Genomic DNA, 18,866 nt, shown 5'->3' on the forward strand with positions numbered 1-18,866 from the left:
CACCAACACAGTGCTTGATTCCAACCAGACACGAATTGTTTGCCACCTCTAGTCCCATTGGCTTAGTCACACTTGCTCCCATTCCAACTTGGCAAAAATGCCTGCACTGCTTGGCCACTTGCTTCTATCATCTGGCATTTAGATGTGGGCTGAATCTCTCCTCAGTAACATTCGGGGCCACAGAGATGCTTTGGTTCCAGTCTCCAAACACATGTTCCAGACAGTGAGTGTCCAAATGTAGGTAGAGTTTCCATGGGCTGATTCATTCATGGAACCCTCACAGGATGGAGGGCAATCAGAGCTTCTTGGAGGCAACCCCCTAGAGCACTATTTCTAGAAGAGTCTCTCACCATACCTGCCAGAACACTCAGCCCTCTATAGGGTGGTGACAAAAGGCAAATTTCTCCCAAGGCCCAGTCAAACTGTGGCTTATCTGTTTCTGCTACTCACCAGCCAGTCTACTTTGGGCAAAAAAATTACATGCATTGATGGGTAAATCTCAGTTTCCTACGGGACAGAACCTGCCTTCTGTCTGCTTGTGAAAATCATAGAATGTGAGAGTATTTTCTAAACTGCTATGCACCATATACATTTTTGGCCATGATATCTCCAAAATTGCATTGTAGCTTCAAAATTCAAATTTCAGCTAAATTACAATTGAAGTCAATAGGAGTGGATTTTAAAGATCTGCTTCCATTAGAAATAGCAGGCCACAGGTTCTCAGAATTAGTATTTGTCAGATGTCTGATACATACTCAGTTCTCTGTTAAGGACTGTGAAGGTGGCTGCGCATGGTGGCTCGCACCTGTAATCCCAGCACTTTAGGAGGCCAAGGCAGGTGGATCACTTGAGGTCAAGAGTTCAAAACCAGCCTGGCGAACATGGCGAAACTCTGTCCCTACTAAAAAATAACAAAAATTAGCTGGGCATGGTGGCAGGTGCCTGTAGTCCCAGCTACTCAGGGGGCTGAGGCACGAGAATCTCTTGAACCTGGAAGGCAGAGGTTGCAGTGAGCTGAGATTGCGCCACTGTGCTCCAGCCTGGGCGACAAAGTAAGACTCTATCTCAAAAAAAAAAAAAAATGACTGTGAAAGATACATGGTAAGTGAAGACATGATTCCTAATATTAACACGATTATGATTTAGCATAAAACAAAAGATACTTTGATAATTAAGTGAGAGATGCTATAGATACAATAACAATTCAAAAGTAAAGAGGAGCTGTGAGGGCTGGAGAAATGGGGTAGCTTCATGGATAATGCATGTGATAGATTCTGTCATTTGTGTCTGTCAAGGACCCTTCTTTAGGGATATCTTAGTCCATTCCGCTATAACAAAACACTTTAGACAGGGCAATTAATAATTAACAGAAATTTATTTCTTACAGTTTTAGAGGCTGGGAAGTCTAAGATTGAGGCACCAGTAGATTTGATATCTGGTGAGGGCTTGCTCTCTGCTTGAGTGCAGTGGCACAATCACAGATCACGGCAGCCTTGACCTCCTGGGCTCAAACCATCTTCCTACCTCAGCCTCACCAGTAGCTGGGGCTATAGGCACAAGCCACCATGCCCAGCTAACTTCTGTATTTTTTGTGGAAACGGGATTTTGTGGCCAGGCGCTGTGGCTCACTCCTGTAATCCCAGCACTTTGGGAGGCCAAGGCAGGTGGATCACTTGAGGCCAGGAGTTCAAGGTTGGCCAACATAGCGAAACCCTATCTCTACTAAAAATACAAAAATTAGCCAGGCATGGTAGCACACGCTTGTAATCCCTACTCGGGAGGCTGAGGCACGAAAATCACTTGAACCCGGAGGTGGAGGTTGCAGTGAGCACAGATGGTGCCACTGTACTCCAGCCTGAGCGACAGAGTGAGACTCTGTCTCAAAAAAAAAAGAAAGAAAAAAAAAAGAAACGGGGTTTTGCCGTGTTGGGCTGGTCTCAAACTCCAAGGCTCAAGATGATTCACCCGCACCTTTTCTTAAGGGCCCCACATCTTAATACTATGTTGGGCATGAGGTTTCTGTTCTTTTTCTTTCTTTTTTTTTTTTTCTTTAGAGACAGAGTCTTGCTCTGCTACCCAGGCTGGAGTGCAGTGGCAGGATCTCGGCTCACTGCAACCTCTGCCTCCTGGGTTCAAGCAATTCTACCACCTCAGCCTCCCGAGTAGCTGGGATTACAGGCGCCCACCACCATGCCTGGCTAATTTTTGTATTTTTAGTAGAAACGGGGGTTTCGCCATGTTGGCCAGGCTGGTCTTGAACCCCTGACCTCAAGTGATCTGCCTGCCTCGGCCTCCCAAAGTGTTGGGATCATAGGCGTGAGCCACCGCACCCGGCCCTGGATTAGGTTTCAACGTAAGAATTTTAGGAAGACACAAACATTCAGACCACAGCAAGGAGATTTGATCTTCCACACTCCATGTGGTTTTAATGGGTTTGACAGTCATAATACTCTACCTCCCTGGCTACAGATGTGGGCGTATACCCTGGGCTTAGCTATCATAGTACCCCACCATTCTAGATGGAATGATTGAACAAGAAAATGCCATTTGGTCCAAATCAGGCCAATGAAAACTCCCCCGCTCTCGCCCCGCAGCCAGGATATTACAAATGGAGGATGGGAGAGAGGAAGTCTTTTGTGGGTTACGCATAAGATGTTGTAAGTGTGGAGCTTTCTGTGGCCCTGTGCTGGTCCTTCAGTATGGAGGCACGATGTCTACAGAAGGAGAGAATTCATCCAGTGCAGGGTAAAGTGAGACTGGATATGAGAAGAGGGACCTAATAGCACTGTCTAGGTCCCTGGCATCTCTGAAGCAAGCTGTTCTGTTTTTCGTAAAACCAAATTTCCTTTTTGTGCCATAGAAGTTTGGTTTGGATTTTCTTTCATTTGACCCAGAAGGAGTCCTAACTCTTGGAGAATGGGATTTGACTTGTGTATTTTAAAAATGGGCAAGATATTGATATGCCCAGGGAAATGATAGGGTATTCTGGGCAAGCAGAGCTGCTTTAATGAAGGTCCAGAGATAAGAATGAGCATGGTATATTTGGGGAATCTGAGAAAATCAGCCTGAATGAAGTAAATTGGGAATAAGTAAATTAGGTGGGTTATAAAGGAAGAGGTCAGTTTGGGAGTTTGTTTAAACTAGATAAGAGTCGAGGCTTGATTAAAAGGAAACAAAGAGTTTCTAAAATTAAAATAAAGAAAAACTACATCTGTTTAAAGGCAAAATTTTAAAAGTCTGTTGCATTAATCTGCTCAGGCTGCCATGACAAAAATCTCACAGACTGGGTGGCTTAAACAAGAGACATTTATTTTCTCACACTTCTGGAGGCTAGAAGTCCAAGATCAAGGTTCTGGCAAATTCGGGTTCTAGTAAGGGCTCCCTTCCTGGCTTATAGATGGCTAGCTTCTCACGGTGTCCTCATATGTCCTTTCCTTTATGTACACATAGTGGGGAGAGGGTGGGAGTTGGGTGGAGTTGTTGGGGGAGCTTTAGTGTCTCTTCCTCTTTTTTTTTTTTTTTTTTTTTTTTGACGGAGTCTTGCTCTGTCGCCCAGGCTGGAGTGCAGTAGTGCAATCTCGGCTCACTGCAAGCTCCACCTCCCGGCTTCACGCCATTCTTCTGCCTCAGCCTCCTGAGTAGCTGGGACTACAGGCGCCCGCCACCACACCCAGCTAATTTTTTGTATTTTTAGTACAGACAGGGTTTCACCGTGTTAGTCACGATGGTCTCGATCTCCTGACCTCGTGATCCACCTGCCTCGGCCTCCCAAAGTGCTGGGATTACAGGCGTGAGCCACCGCGCCCGGCCTCTTCCTCTTTTTGTAAGGATACCAATTGTACAGGATTAAAGCCCCACCCTTATGGCCTCATTTATTTTAATTACCCCCATAAAGGCTCTATCTCCACATGCAGTCACATTGGGGGTTGGGACTTAATATGTAAATTTTGGAGGGACACAATTCACTTTATAACAATAACATCTGTCAAAACTAAGAACAGGAGAAAATGAAGGTAATGGAAACACTGATACACTAGTGGGAAAGTAAATCATCACAGCTACCTAGGAGGAAAATCTGGCAAAATCTACTCATGTTGGAACATGTATGTCCAAAACCCATGAATTCTACTCTGATTTTGGGAAATCTTTTACACCTGTGCACCATGAAGTACATTCAAAAATGATTTTTACAGCATTATTTTCAAGTGTCCCCAGATCAAAAGCAACCTAAATATCCATCAAAAAAAAAAAAAAAAGGAAAAACAAACTATTTAATTAATTTTTTTCTGAGACAGGGTCTCGCCGTGTTGCCCAGGCTGGAGTGCAGTGGTGTGATTATAGCTCACTGCAGCCTCAAACTTCTAGGCTCCAGTGATCCTCCCGCCTCAGCCACCAGAGTAGCTAGGACTACAGGTGTGCACCACCATACCCCGCTAATTGTTAAACTTTTTTTTGTAGAGAAGGGGTCTTGCTACATTGCCCAAGCCAGCCTTGCACTCCAGAGTACAAGTGTTCCTCCTACTGCAGCTTCCCAAAGCACTGGGATTACAGGCATAAGCCTCTGTGCCTGGCAGGAAAAATAAATTTTGGTGCGTTCATACAATCAACCCTACATAGCAGTAGAAGTGAAAGAAAAAAAAAAAACCTAGACCTGCATGTATCGACATGAACAAATCTCAAATATAATAATGTTGAGGAAAAAAATCAAGTTAATGAAGAACATAATAAATCAGTGGGGTGCCAGAGCTGGCTTACATGTATTGGGGTCATCTCTTCCTAACTTCTTGTTCACTGACACAATGTGGTCATTTGAATTTGGCCATGCTGGGAGTATGTAAGCATGGAAATTGGCAGATGCTTTAAATTAAGTTGTCTTTTTTCTCCTAGAGAACCTGTTGTTAAACAATTTACCAGGATATCACTGGATAACATTTTTTTAGATTATCTCATTTAATCCATACATCAACACTACTAGATATTACTAGATATTATCACCATTTCACAGATGAAGAAACAGGCTGAGTGTTGTAAGTAACTTGCCCAATCCACACAGGTAATAAGGACAGACCAGAGATTATTACCTCATAGTTAGAGTTTACATGTATATACAAAATACGCACATATTATATACCTGACTTTTTGGGGGTTTTGACTCTCCCTATTACTCTGTTCCTATTATAGCTGCTACATACGTATATTTTAGCATTTGCCATGCTGAATTGCAATCATTCACTTATTAATACTCCTTATTCAATTATGAGCCTCCAGAGAGAATAGACCATACCTTATTCATGTCTATGGTTCCAGAACACAGGCTAGACATGGCACATCTACATAAATTCCTTGTTAGTAGCCTAACTCTGCCTTTGCAGCCATTCTTTACTAACTGCTCATGGGTGATGAATATTACAGGACCATTATTGAATGATTAGCCATTTCTTTAGCTCCAAGATCCCTAAGCAACCACCATCACAAGGTGGGCTCAGCAGGAAGAATATTCAATACAATCAACCCCTGTTTGTAGGGCTGTTCCTAATACTTTAAACACCACAAATGTGATGTCTAGGGCTTTTTAAGTTTAAGAACTGCACTCACATCAGTCTGTCCCCAGCAGTTCACACATATTACAATAACTAAATGACAGGATAGCACCATATTCATAGAATATACAAGAATAAAGGAAAAATATGAGACAATGTAGATCAATAGCATAAGATAAAGTCTTGCCAAAAGCTATCTTTTTATTATGATAGAGCCATAGGGTCCAGAGGGGCAAGACCGCACAATTCAGAAGCTTTCCCACACAAGAAACTAACAGAGTTGGTTGTTGATGGCATTTTGAGGCATAACATTTTTATAAATATTAAAATACTTAAAACAACACAATATACCATAGTATCATATAAATACAAGTATTTGGTATAATAAATACCACATTCAGGATAATGATTACTTCTTAAGAGGAAGGAAAGGAAGGTAATTAATTAGGAAAACAGAAGAGCTTCAGTTGAATTTGAAATGTATTTCTTTTTTTTTTTTTTGAGATGGAGTTTCACTCTTGTTGCCCAGGCCGGAGTGCAATGGCGCAATCTCGGCTCACCGCAACCTCTGCTTCCCAGGTTCAAGTGATTCTTCTGCCTCAGCCTCCCTAGTAGCTGGGATTACAGGCATGTGCCAGCACGACTGGCTAATTTTGTATTTTTAGTAGAGACGGGGTTTCTCCATGTTGGTCAGGCTGGTCTCGAACTCCTGACCTCAGGTGATCCGCCTGCCTTGGCCTCCCAAAGTGCTGGGATTACAGGCGTGAGCCACCGCACCCAGCCAAGATTGAAATGTATTTCTTAAGCTGAGGAGCAGGTATGAATTGGTGATTGTATACTCTGTGCTTTCTGTTTTTCTAAAACATTTAGTAGTAGATCAATGAAATATGGCAGCCAGTTCTCCCACAGAGTGTAGAGTTACATGGGCGAGGTGGGAGGAGGCACTAGACACAGTCTCTATCCTTATGCCATCCCACTAGCTCTGCAGTGAGGGGTAGCTCCATGGCTCCTAGATTTGGCCGTGGAGGTGGTGGGGGAGCAGGTGCGTTTTTAGTATCTCTGGGGCTATACGCAGTTGCCACATTTGGTTCTGAGTTTCCGAAAAGAAAGAAGGAATAAATACCAACACGATGGGGAGGTGAGAGAATCAGGGGAATCATTCAGGTGGTGAACATGACCATTTCAGGATGACCCTTCAGCTCCACCTGACCTCTGTGGGCTGCCTGGCAGGCAGTGGGTATATTTGGTTACAGACAAAAAATAGAGGATGTATTATACAGATGACTATTTCTAGTCAACTTGGGTCATAATAGAATTCAAGTTCTCCTAGAAAGGGGCGCAAGTAGGAAATGTTAAGGGCAGATCTACAGCTAACATCGGTCAAGAGATGCTAGGAGGGGAGGACTTAGCTCCTGAGGGAAAGATCCTTTAGCCCTGCTGCTGGGGTTGGTGCCATGTTTTCATTCCTAGGTAAGATGGTCTAAAGTACTCTACTTTAGTTCCATTCCCTTGGTGCCTGAAAGCAAGTTAATAAGGCATTTATAGGCTGCTCTGGATTCTGTACCTCTCCCTGACCTCCCTCCTCCCCTTCACATTTCTGATACTTAACTGTACGCTAAGCACGTCGTGCTGTTTCTGCACATGCTGTTCTCTGTTCCACCACAGTCCTTCTCTTTCTTTAAGTCTTTTCTCTATCTTCAAATCCTTTACCTTTCTTCCTGTGTGAAAACTTCCCCACTACCTCTCCACATCAACAGAGGCATCTCTCTCTCCTCTGGGTCCCCTTCCTAGGACACGCCTTTATCGTTTCTTGCTATGCACAGTATGGAAGTTGCTGCTCATATGTCCAGTCCATCTCCCCTGCTGCAGTGCTGAGCTCCTTTGAGACAAGAAGCCTGTGTTACTTTAACTTTGTATCCCCCAGGCCCACCACAGACCTGGCGCAGATATTGAGTAGGTGCTCAGTAGAGGAGAGAAGAAAGAGAAGGGAAGAGAGAGCAGGAAAAACTACCTGACTCTTCACTTCCTTTCTTTAGACATTCTCTCATTCACTCTATCTTTCCTTTTTTAAACTATGTGCTAACACTCATGCAGAGTTCAGTTGTAGGCAGAGAAGCAAGGCAGGAAGTATGGGGTATGCCAAAGATAAGGAAACTGACACTAGTGGGCACAGGAGGTCTAATTCCATTCTTTGGTGCAACTTCATTTTACATAATGCCATTTGTGGGAAATGAATGACTCTATATACAAAGGCTGGAGGTGCACAGAAGGCAGAGGTCAGGGATGATAACAAAGGTCCTGGCACCTTTTCTTCCCCCTTAACTGTCAACCTCTTCTGCTCTGTTTTTTTTTTTTTTTTTTTTTGGTCTCCTGACCTGGTCTGGGATCTCCTGAATTGCTGTCAACAGCTAGCAATTTCATGTGTGTTATGCCATGAATTCTATTCTGAATACAGCTATAGCAGGTTCCACTAATTAATTAAATTGTACTTCATAGACTTGGAGTCAGGTCTCTTGAATACAAGATGCAAATTTATGCAACATATGCAAATCACTCATGTTCTCAAATTCCATGAACAAAATCTGGTAGCCTTGAGATAAAAAAGCCCCTGCCAAGCATCATCTCTCCTAATTATTGCTTAATTTCCTCCTCCCCCCACCCTTTAACATTGAACACTTTCAGGCTTGGCAGAAACTGGAAGAAAACACAATGAGAGCTGGTTAATAAACAGGAAGTTCCTCAGGGGCAAAGACCCTGCAATCTATTTATTTTATGCTCTCCAGTGGCTCCTAATATACTGCTGAGCACACACAGTCTTGCATAGGGAACACCACCAGTCCTGACTATCAAATTATGGATATTTCAAGATGAACAAGTTGAGAGCCCCGAAAGCTTTGCAAAACATGCCATTTAAGACTAGAAACAGGAAACTGATGACCTGTACTATATAATGCATGTAGCTATTAATTTATTTAAATTAAATAACATTTAAAAATTTTGTTCTTGGCTGGGTGTGGCGGCTCATGCCTGTAATCCTAGCCCTTTGGGAGACCGAGGCAGGAGGATCCCTTGAGCCCAGGAGTTTGAGACCAGCCTGGGCAACATAGGGAAACCCTGTCTCTATTAAATTAAAAAGAAAAAAAAGGAAATAAAAATTTTAAATTTAATTCTCAGTCAAGCCACATTTCAAGTGTTTAGTAGCTAGATGTGGCTAGTGACTTTCATATTGGGCAGTAGAGGTATAGAACATTTCCATTATCATGAAAAGTTCTACTGGACGGCACTGATTTCAACACTTGGTACTCAAAGTCCGGTCCTTGGAGAGCATATTGGGCCGTGTATTGAGAGCATATTGGAAAATGTAGAAGCTCAGGTCCTACTCCAGATCCACTGAATCAGAATCTGCCTTTTAACAAAATCCTCAATTCATTCACATGCATGTAAATGTGAGAGAGGCATTGGTCTAGATCTAGAATAGAAAACAGTGGTTCTGTACTCACTTCAGCAGTATATATACTAAGAAGATTAGCATGGCCCCTGTGCAAAGATGACATGCAAATTCATGAAGGGTTTCATTAAAAAACTTTTAAAAAAGAAAAAAGGAAACAGTGGTTCTCCTCAGAAATAAAGCCATGCATCTACAGCCATCTGATCTTTGACAAAGTCAACAAAAATAAGTAATGGGGAAAAGACTCTGTATTCAATACATGATGCTGGAATAGCTGACTAGCTATATGCAGAAGAATGAAACTGGAGCCCTACATTTTACCATACACGAAAATTAACTCAGGGTGGATTAAAGATTTAAATGTAAGACCTCAACCTATAACAATCCTAGAAGAAAACTTAGTCAACACCATTCCGGACATTGGCTTTGGGAAAGAATTTATGATTAAGTCCTCAAAAGCAGTTGCAACAAAAACAAAAATTGACAAGTGGGACTAATTAACTAAAGAGGTTTTGTACAGCAAAAGAAACTGTCAACAGAGTAAACAGACCTACAGAATGGGAGAAAATATTCACAAACTATGCACCCAACAAAGCTCTAATATCCAGAATCTATAAGAAACTTAAACCATTGAACAACCAAAAAACAAACAACCCCATTAAAAGTGGACAAAAGTCATGAACTGACACTTCTCAAAAAAAAGACATACAAGCAGCCAACAAGCATATAAAAAATGCTTGATATCATTAATTATCAGATGAATGCAAATCAAAACCACAATGAGATACCATCTCACACCTATCAGAATGGCTATTACTAAAAAGTAAAAAAAGAACAGATGCTGGTGAGGCGGCAGAGAAAAGGGAATGTTTATACATTGTTGGTGGGAGTATAAATTAGTTAGCCACTGTGGAAAGCAGTTTGGAGAGTTCTCAAAGATCTAAGAGCAAAACTACCATTTTACCCAGCAATCCCATCACTGGGTATATATCCAAAAGAAGGGCAGGGCGTCATGGCTCACATCCATAATCCCCAAACTTTGAGAGGCTGAGATGGGAGGATCGGTTGATTCCAGGAGTTTGAGACCAGCTTGGGCAATGTAGTGAGACCCCATCTCTTAAAAAAAAAATATAGCCAGGCATGGTGGGCATGCCTGTAGTCCCATCTACTTGGGGGGCAGAGGTGGAGGATTGCTTGAGCCTGGGAGATTGAGGCTGCAGTGAGCCACGATCACACCTCTGCATTCCAGCCTAGAAAACAGAGTGAGACCTTGTCTAAAAAAAAAAAAAACCAGAAAACAAATCATTCTACCAAAAAGACACATGCACTCATCACAGCGCTGTTCACCATAGCAAAGACATGAAATCAACCTAGGTACACATCAATAGTGGATTGGATAAAGAAAAGGTATATATACACCATGGAATACTACACAGTCATAAACAACAAAATCATGTCCTTTGCAGCAACATGGACACAGCTGGAGGCCATTATCCTAAGCAAATTAACCCAGGAACAGAAAACCAAATACCACATGTTCTCACTTATGAGTGGGAGCTAAACATTAGGCACTCACATGGACATAAAGATGGCAACAACAGACACTGGGGACTACTAGAGCAGGGAGGGAGAGAGAGGGGAAAGGATTGGAAAACCCTTTGCTCGCTACCTGGGTGATGGGATCATTTGTACCCCAAACCTCAGCATCATGCAATATACCCATGAAACACACCAGCACATGTACCCCCTGAATCTGAAATAAAAGTTGAAATTATAAAAAAATAAAAGGAAGGAAGGAAGGAAGGAAGGAATCAATCAGTGATTTTCTAATTTTAGTATATATCAGAATCATCTGGGGTACTTATAAACACAGATTGCTGGGCCCTAATATATGAGTTCCTAACTCAGTAGGTGTGTTAGTTTCGTAGGGCTGCCATAATGAATTACCACGAAATAGGTGGTTTAAAACAAGCTCCTATTTCTGGATGCTCAAAGTCTGAAATCAAAGTGTCAGCAGGGCCACACTTCCCCTGAAATCGATAGGGAAGATCCTTCCTTGCCTCTTCTTAGCTTCTGGTAGTTTGCTGGCAATCTGTGGTGTTCCTTGATTTACAGGTATATAACTTCAGTATCTGCCTCTATCATCTTATGGAGGTCTCCCCTTGTGTATCCGTGTCTCTCTCTCCTTTTCTTATAAGGACATCAGTCATTGGATTAAGGGCCCACCCTACGCTAGTACAGCCTCATCTTGGCTTATCTAATTACATCTACAATGACCTTATTTCCAAATAAGGCTACATTCTGAGGTACTGGGTGTTAGGACTTCAACATATCCTTTTGGGGGACACAATTCCACCCATAACAGGAGAGCTAGGGTGTGACCTGTTAATCTGCATTTCCAACAAGTTCCCCAGATGGTGCTAATGCTGCTACTGGAACTACACTTTGAAAACCACAGGTCAAACAATTAGCAAAACAGAATTACTTGGAAAAAAAGTTGGATCGTATCATGAAAGTAACTGTGTTCCACTTCCCAAACGTGCAGAATTCCATGTTTAGGCATACTTGGGAGATGGTCATCCAGTCAGTGCATGAATACTTCCAAAGACAGAGTTCCCATTACTAGCAGTGCAGCTTTCTTGATGGCTATGCTCCTGAAATTTGTGCACTTTGAACTTACCGAATATCTGATATATCTAGCTGATGTATGGCAGCAGAAAGTCTTGATATTTTTTTCTGATGGCTGCACAAGGTCTCAACATTGAATTTTACATTTCCTCTTTGTGACAGTTCTCCAAATCCTTTAGATTCTGGTTTGCTCTGAAGAGCACACATGTTGAGGTTTTTAGGGATGATAATCATGTCCGCCTACCCCCGGTTATGAGTTAATTAGAAATAGATATAGGAATCCAACAGATGAAGATCAAAAGATCAACTATATTTCCAGTAAGCATAGAATGGAGGGTAGAATTTGGACCTTGACCACAATCAGCCTTCCTACAAACCCCCACTTGATTGAATTTATGTGATATGATCACATACAAAGAAGCAGGACAATTGAATCCACAGCACTGTGCAAGGTTTTAAGGGTATGAGTTACAGCTATTGCCACATTAAGAAATGTAACAGCACTAGGAGAGATTAGGTTTTCCTGGAAGAGAGAAAGGAAAGATGTCTAAGTCCACCCATCCCAAGAGACCTTCCTTCTCCCAGGGTTGCCTCCTTAGCATCCTTCCCACCATTTTCCTTTTTTCAAACAGAACCCTAATGTTATTTACAAAAGCCCCACTGCAACCCCATTCATGGTGCCCAAGTGTCTCAGGAAGCCAGCCCTATCCTCAACTGAAGCCAATCCTAGTAACTCTAATCTCCTTGCAAGTGATTGGTTTCAGAATTTAGGCTTCAGTGAATCAGTGCATGGCATGACTCCTAGAGACTGCTGTTGGATCAGAGATGGGCAAGTGATACAGACGAGCCTAATCAGACTACTTTTGTTCAAAGGTAGGAGGAAAGATTTTTCTTTTTTTTTTTTCTTTTTTTTTTTTTTTTTTTTTTTTTGAGACGGAGTCTCACTCTGTTGTCCACGCTGGTGTGCAATGGCGCGATCTCGGCTCACCCCAAACTCTGCCTCCCAGGTTCAAGCGATTCTCCTGCCTCAGCCTCCCAAGTAGCTGGGATTACAGACATGCACCACCACATCTGGCTAATATTTTTGTTTTTTTTTTTTTTTAAAGTAGAGACACGGTTTCACCATGTTGGCCAGGCTGGTCTTAAACTCCTGACTTTAGGTGGTCCGCCCACCTCAGTCTCCCAAAGTGCTAGGATTACAGGCGTGAACCACCACACCTGGCCTATAAAGAATTTTCTAATGAGGAAGCATGTTGTTCCAAGAGCTGATGGCAGTCACCAGAAGGAATCAACCTGAAGAAAACGCCTCTATCTGGAGGATGAGGGAGCACAAAGAACAGCAAAGCAATAAATCCCCAGCTCCAATTATAATACTTGCTCTACCTTTGGCTTTTGTTGTTGTTATTTAAAATAATACTAATTTTTTTTTATTGTTTAAGCTGGTTATGTCAATGTCCCTGTCATTTCCAGCTAAAATAATTTCTGCCAATAAAATACTTAAATATTTTTTCTATGAGTTAGTAGAAATTGCCTCATGGGGCTGGGCATGGTGGCTCACGCCTGGAATTCCAGCGTTTTGGGAGGTTGAAGTGGGTAGATCACCTGAGGTAACAAGTTCGAGACCAGCCTGGCCAACATGGCAAAACCCCGTCTCGTGGCCGGGCACAGTGGCTCATGCCTGTAATCCTAGCACTTTGGGAGGCCGAGGTGGGCGGATCACAAGGTCAGGAGATCGAGACCATCCCGGCTAACACGATGAAACCCCATCTCCACCAAAAATACAAAAAATTAGCTGGGCGTGGTGGCGGGCACCTGTAGTCCCAGCTACTCAGGAGGCTGAGGCAGGAGAATGGCGTGAACCCGGGAGGTGGAGCTTGCAGTGAGCTGAGATCGTGCCACTGCACTCCAGCCTGGGCGACAGAGCAAGACTCCTTCTCAAAAAAAAAAAAAAAAGGTCTCTACTAAAAATACAAAAATTAGCCAGACGTGGTGGCACACGCCTGTAATCCCAGCTACTTGGGAGGCTGAGGCATGAGAATGGCTTGAACCCGGGAGGTGGAGGTTGCAGTGAGCGGAGATGCGCCTCTGCACTCCAGCCTGGGCGGCAGAGCAAGACTTTGTGTCAAAAAACAAAACAAAAAAAAGTTATACTAGAAATCCTAGGAGAAGAGAAAAGGATGCTTCAGAGGAAAGAGAAAAAGAAGAGTTAGAATTTGACGGGTCCATGATGCCCCTCTCCAGAAGAAGCAGCAAGACTGTAGCAGGTGTGGTTTCCAGCCTCACTGAATCCTTCTGACAAACAGAGAGCACCAAGCTTCTATGGACCATGTGGAATGAACGAGAAGACTAACAGAAAAAGCCATATGACCTGAAGATTAGATACATTGGTACAGATTGCTAAATTTTATCAATAGATATTTCTGTTTACTGGGCACACAGTTAAATTCTATTTCTCTGCCAGCCTCCTTGTATCAACTTACAGCTAAGTGGTTGAGTCTGACTGATTGAATGTGGGCTAAAGTAATATATACCACTTTAGGGCCTGACTCGTAAATATATCCTTATGATCTCTCTATCTCTACCTCTAATTCCTTTCCAGTCATAGTGGTAGGAAGCAAATGATTTCAAAGCCCAGATGATGACAGAGACCCATCTTGGAAGGGGCTTGGATCCCTGAGTCACTGCTTGGAGGAGAGCTGCCTGAGATGGCTTCCTGATCATGAACATCCACGTTGGACTTTGCCTGAGCAAGGAATAAACATCCTATCTTAAGACAATGTGATTTGGAGTTTTTGGCATATGACCAGCTTCAATTACGCTGCATAATTTACATGTCTTTTCCCTCTTTCCCAGGTAACTCATATGCCTCCCAGATGTTTATATTTGGAAAGAGGGAAGAAGACCCAAATAATAACTGAGATCAAATTTCTCACCAACTCACTGGGACTCTGAGAGATGCATTTCATTTGATTTAAAGAAAATAAATTACTTTGAAACTAGACTTGACATTATTCCTCCATCTGTATTACTCTTGATTCATGGGTAAGACATAAATTGAGTAATTCTGGCCTCTCTGACAGACAAGGTTCCCCAACACATACCTAATGGTGGTCCCTCCCACCAAGATAAGTATTGGCTTCTTGACCTTTCACTCCCATCCTGTTACTGTCAGACCTGCTCCCTTCCTCAGTATGGTCAGGAGTCTTGGAGGTCTGCATAGCAAAGAGTTAAGCCCTTCTTTCAGGTCTTTTTCTCCTTCAGTCGATTAATTAGATTGAAATTTCAACTTCAAGCTGCTCTGCTGGTCTCTAGCTAATGCTGTCACCTGAAATACTGCCCACCACACAAGAGCTTTTGACAGCAAGAGCCGCTCAAAAGCCTCTTCATGCCTCTATTCCAGGAATAACCCAAGGAAAGGGTTGATAGCTGTGAAAGCTGAGTACTGAAGCCCTCTCTGTCCACCGCTTCAAAAGAATAACTACCATCGCTCTGCCTTTATTTTGTATTTTAGCTCCTCTTTGTCAATGAAAAGTTCCTGCTCTCTATTCATTATAAAGAATAAAGAGCTTTTCAAGTGTGAGTTGCTAAACCCAGAAGGGAACAGAGCTATTTTTAAGAGGGTTTCAACTCTGAGCTGTTACATCGACCAGCCTGCCGGCAGCAGAGGTCTTCCAGGGAGGCTGAAGGCAAGAGCGGCTTCTCTTCAGGTGGGCATCTCGGGGAGGAAGCTCCTGGGGCTGAAATGGTCTAGCTCTTTGGCCCACAGGCAGCCCTGGTGCCTTCGAACCTGGCTCCTCAAGACAGAGCTTGCAAGGGGGTCAGGGGAGTCACTGTGATTCTCACCTATTTGAGGTCTGCCTGCTGCCTTAGGTTTCTCACATCCACTTCCTCCACGTAGGAAACAATCTGCTTGATTTTCCTCCGGGGGCACAGGGAGGTGGGGGGTGTCTTTATGTCCTCTCCTATCTTCGTCAAGCCATATGCAACTGGCAGCCGGCACGCTTCTCTCTGTGGGAAGAGGATCATCAGAGCTGGATTCCTGACTGAAAGGAGGAACATGCAGAGTTGCCTGCCTCCTGGCCAACGGGAGTGAAATCCTCTTGGCTTGGGTCTGTCTGGAGCTCTTCTGAAGTCCATGCACTGTAGGGGCATGGATGGGCTCTCAGATTCAGAGTTAGAGGACCTGGATTCAAGTCTCACCTCTCTGAGCCTCTGTTCTCCAAGGCTGCAATGAGGATAATAGTACTTTGCTATCAGAGGTGCTGCAGGGAGGATGACCCATCCTCACATGTATATGGATAGTCTGTGAACCCTGCAGTGTCATGCGTGGTGATCATTGCTCTGAGGGTCAGTGAGATACGTGTTACAGTGTCTTTTAAGAACAGAAAATGATGCCATTGGATGACAGAGGAGATATTGAAAATATGAGAAACTACTAATGATTAGGAGGAATGAGAATCTGTTATCTATCCTCCCATTCCATTCAGTTCCCCCACCAGAGAAAAGGGGCAGGGAATTAAAACTATTCCTTTGCTCTGATAGCTTTTGGAAGTTAAAGACATGCATGTGTACTAAAATACTAAGAGGGAACCAAAAGGATCAACTAATTTTGTACAGAGTGGCTAAATATAATAGAGAAACCTACGTGATTATACTATATCTTGTACTACAGAGGATTTATGAGCGCCTGCAGTAAATTTTAACATTTTTATTATTTATTTTTATGTTTTTAATTGATACATAATAGATATACATATTTTAGCGGTATGTGTGATCATTTGATGCATTCCTATAATCACATCAGTATAATTAAAATATTCATCACCTTAACTATTTTTCTTTATGCTAGGAACATCCTAATTATTCTCTTCTAGCTGTTTTGAAATATACAATAGACTAATGTTAACTACAGTCACCCTACTGATCTACAAAACACCAAGTCTTATTTCTTTTATTGTACTGAGTATTTGTATCCATTAATTCCCCTTTCTTTATCACCCCACCCCTCTACCTTTCCTGGCCTCTGGTAACCACTAATCTACTTTCCATCTTCAAGAGATCTACCAGTAAGTTTTTTTTTTTAAGGAAAACTTATAGACAGAAAAAATATAGGCAAAATAGGATGATTAGGTCCAAGAGAAAAGAAACTGCACATATAAACAGGTGACAAGGTTCTACTGTTACAAAAACAGGGCAGCCAAGTAGGCTCTGAGCTTCCAGGAGGCCAAAGCAAAAAGGGAATATGATCTGTCACCAAATTTATATCTTTCTTGAGGAACCCCTTCACCACAACCAATTTCTCATCCTTTTTTATCATAAGACTTATAAACGTGGATATTTATCTTCAAGAAGAGAATACTTAGGGAGTTTCATTATGGCCTTCCTCAAGTATTTGATGGGCTTCCAAGTACAAAAAAAAAAGATTGCTTTGGGTAATTCCAGACCACAAAACTAGAATCAATGAGTGTAAGTTAAGGGGAACAGATTTGGGTTAAAAATAAAGAACTTTCTAACAATTAGAGTTGTCCATAAATGGAATGAGCTGTCTGGCAAAGAAGTGAGCTCCCTGTTACTGGAAGTGATCAAACAGAGGCTGGCTAACCATCTGTTAAGGATAAGAAGGATTTGTGCATAATGAGAGAATTATGCAACAACATAATACAAGGCTCTTCGTGACAGTTTTATTTATAATAGTAAGGGAAAAAATAGAATCAACCTAAATGTCCAACAAAAGGGGATTAGTTATTTATGGTACTTTCCTATGATTTGTTTTTTATAGATTTTTCAAATATTAAAAATCAGTAAGACAAGGACATAGAAAAAAAGCTGATGATCTATTGCTAAGTGAAAAAGCAGCCTACTGAAATAGCGTACATACTGTGACACAACTTTGTAAAGAAAATTTTTGTAAACAAAGCTACATTTTTTCATTTTGTTATTTTTTTCATTTTATAAAGAAAGATAATATTAAGGAAAGTACACACATGAAAACATTAATAGTGATTATCAGTATTACTTGAATTATGGGTGATTTTTCTCCTTAGGGCTTGTCAGAGTTTTCCAAGTTTTCTACTTTGAGCACTTACCACTTATGTAATTAGAAAAAAATTTAACAAAAATCCCAGAAGAACCCTTCATTAGTCATTAGTCTATAGTTTTAACTAGTTGATCCCTGAAGTTTTTCAAACCTAGTATTATATGATTTTCATTTTATACTCAGGTCATTTATTTTCTCTTATAAAATAACTTGTTTTTCAAGCAGAACTCAACCAAATATAAATACCTCCCCAACAAATAAATAGTGGCTTAAATTATGAGGCTTAGGTACAATCTAATGCATTTCTGACTGCTAGAGCCATTTTTATCTGAAATCTCTTTTGGAAATATGTTGAATATAAACCTAAAAGTCTGTACAATAGAGTAGAAAGAGCTGAGACTTGGAGTCAGACACACTCAGGTCTCAAATTTTGGCTCTGCTACATACCAGCCTTAGTTTCCTCAACTTTAATATGTGATAATAATAACAGCTAAGATTTGTAGAAAATTCAGAGTGTGCCAGGCACTGTTTAAGTGCTTTACATGCAATGGGATCCTCAAAACAATTCTTTGAGGTGAATTCTATTGTTATTTTTCAGATGATAAAAATTAAGCACAGAGAATTTCAATATATTGCCCATTTCATGCAGCTAGAGAGTGATGGAGTAAAAATTCAACCTCAGACACGTTAACCTTAGGATCCCTGGCATTAACCACTATACTATACTGCCTTATAGAGTGGTGGAGGGATTCATTAAATTAACATACATGAAGTGCCTGCTTAACAGAAATATGGGCAGTCAGTACGTTAGTTTTCTCCCTAAACTTTTCCATGGCTATTTGGCCCCAGGAAGACTTTTGATTACCTTCCCCAAGACTGTGTGTATTCCGCCAATACACTGGGGTAAGTGTGGCTCTGTGGTAGGTAGTTTTACGACAAATTTATTATCAATGATACTCATGTCAAACTCAGCGATATTAGAAATCATGTCCCACAGGCCTCCATTCTGGGGCTGATTCTTTAATATTTCATCAATGATTTACATGGATAGAACAGAAAATAAGCTCCTAGAGCTGACAGATGATAGCATGCTGTTAGCAGATGACACCCATCGTCAGTTAGGAAGGCGAGCATCCAGGACAGGATTAGAATTCCAAATGGTCTGGCAAGATGGGGAAGAGGTGGAGGCAGAAAGAATGAACTTCATTAGCAA

At 41.9% G+C, this 18,866-nt stretch overlaps 1 long non-coding RNA gene and 1 pseudogene across 2 annotated transcripts in view; both read left to right on the forward strand.

The window, feature by feature from the left end:
- The window catches only part of LOC105373714 (uncharacterized), a 41,791-nt gene extending 27,174 nt beyond the window's left edge, over positions 1-14,617 (forward strand). For both annotated transcript variants that reach the window (XR_923517.3, XR_923518.3), the window contains exon 2: positions 14,216-14,617. This is a non-coding gene — a long non-coding RNA (uncharacterized LOC105373714). The remainder of the gene's footprint in view (positions 1-14,215) is intronic.
- RNU6-436P (RNA, U6 small nuclear 436, pseudogene) lies at positions 9,015-9,128 on the forward strand (annotated as a pseudogene).
- Positions 14,618-18,866: the final 4,249 nt, after the last annotated feature.

Source organism: Homo sapiens, chromosome 2 (assembly GCF_000001405.40).
Source record: "Homo sapiens chromosome 2, GRCh38.p14 Primary Assembly".
In the NCBI taxonomy this organism is placed as follows: Eukaryota; Metazoa; Chordata; class Mammalia; order Primates; family Hominidae; genus Homo; species Homo sapiens.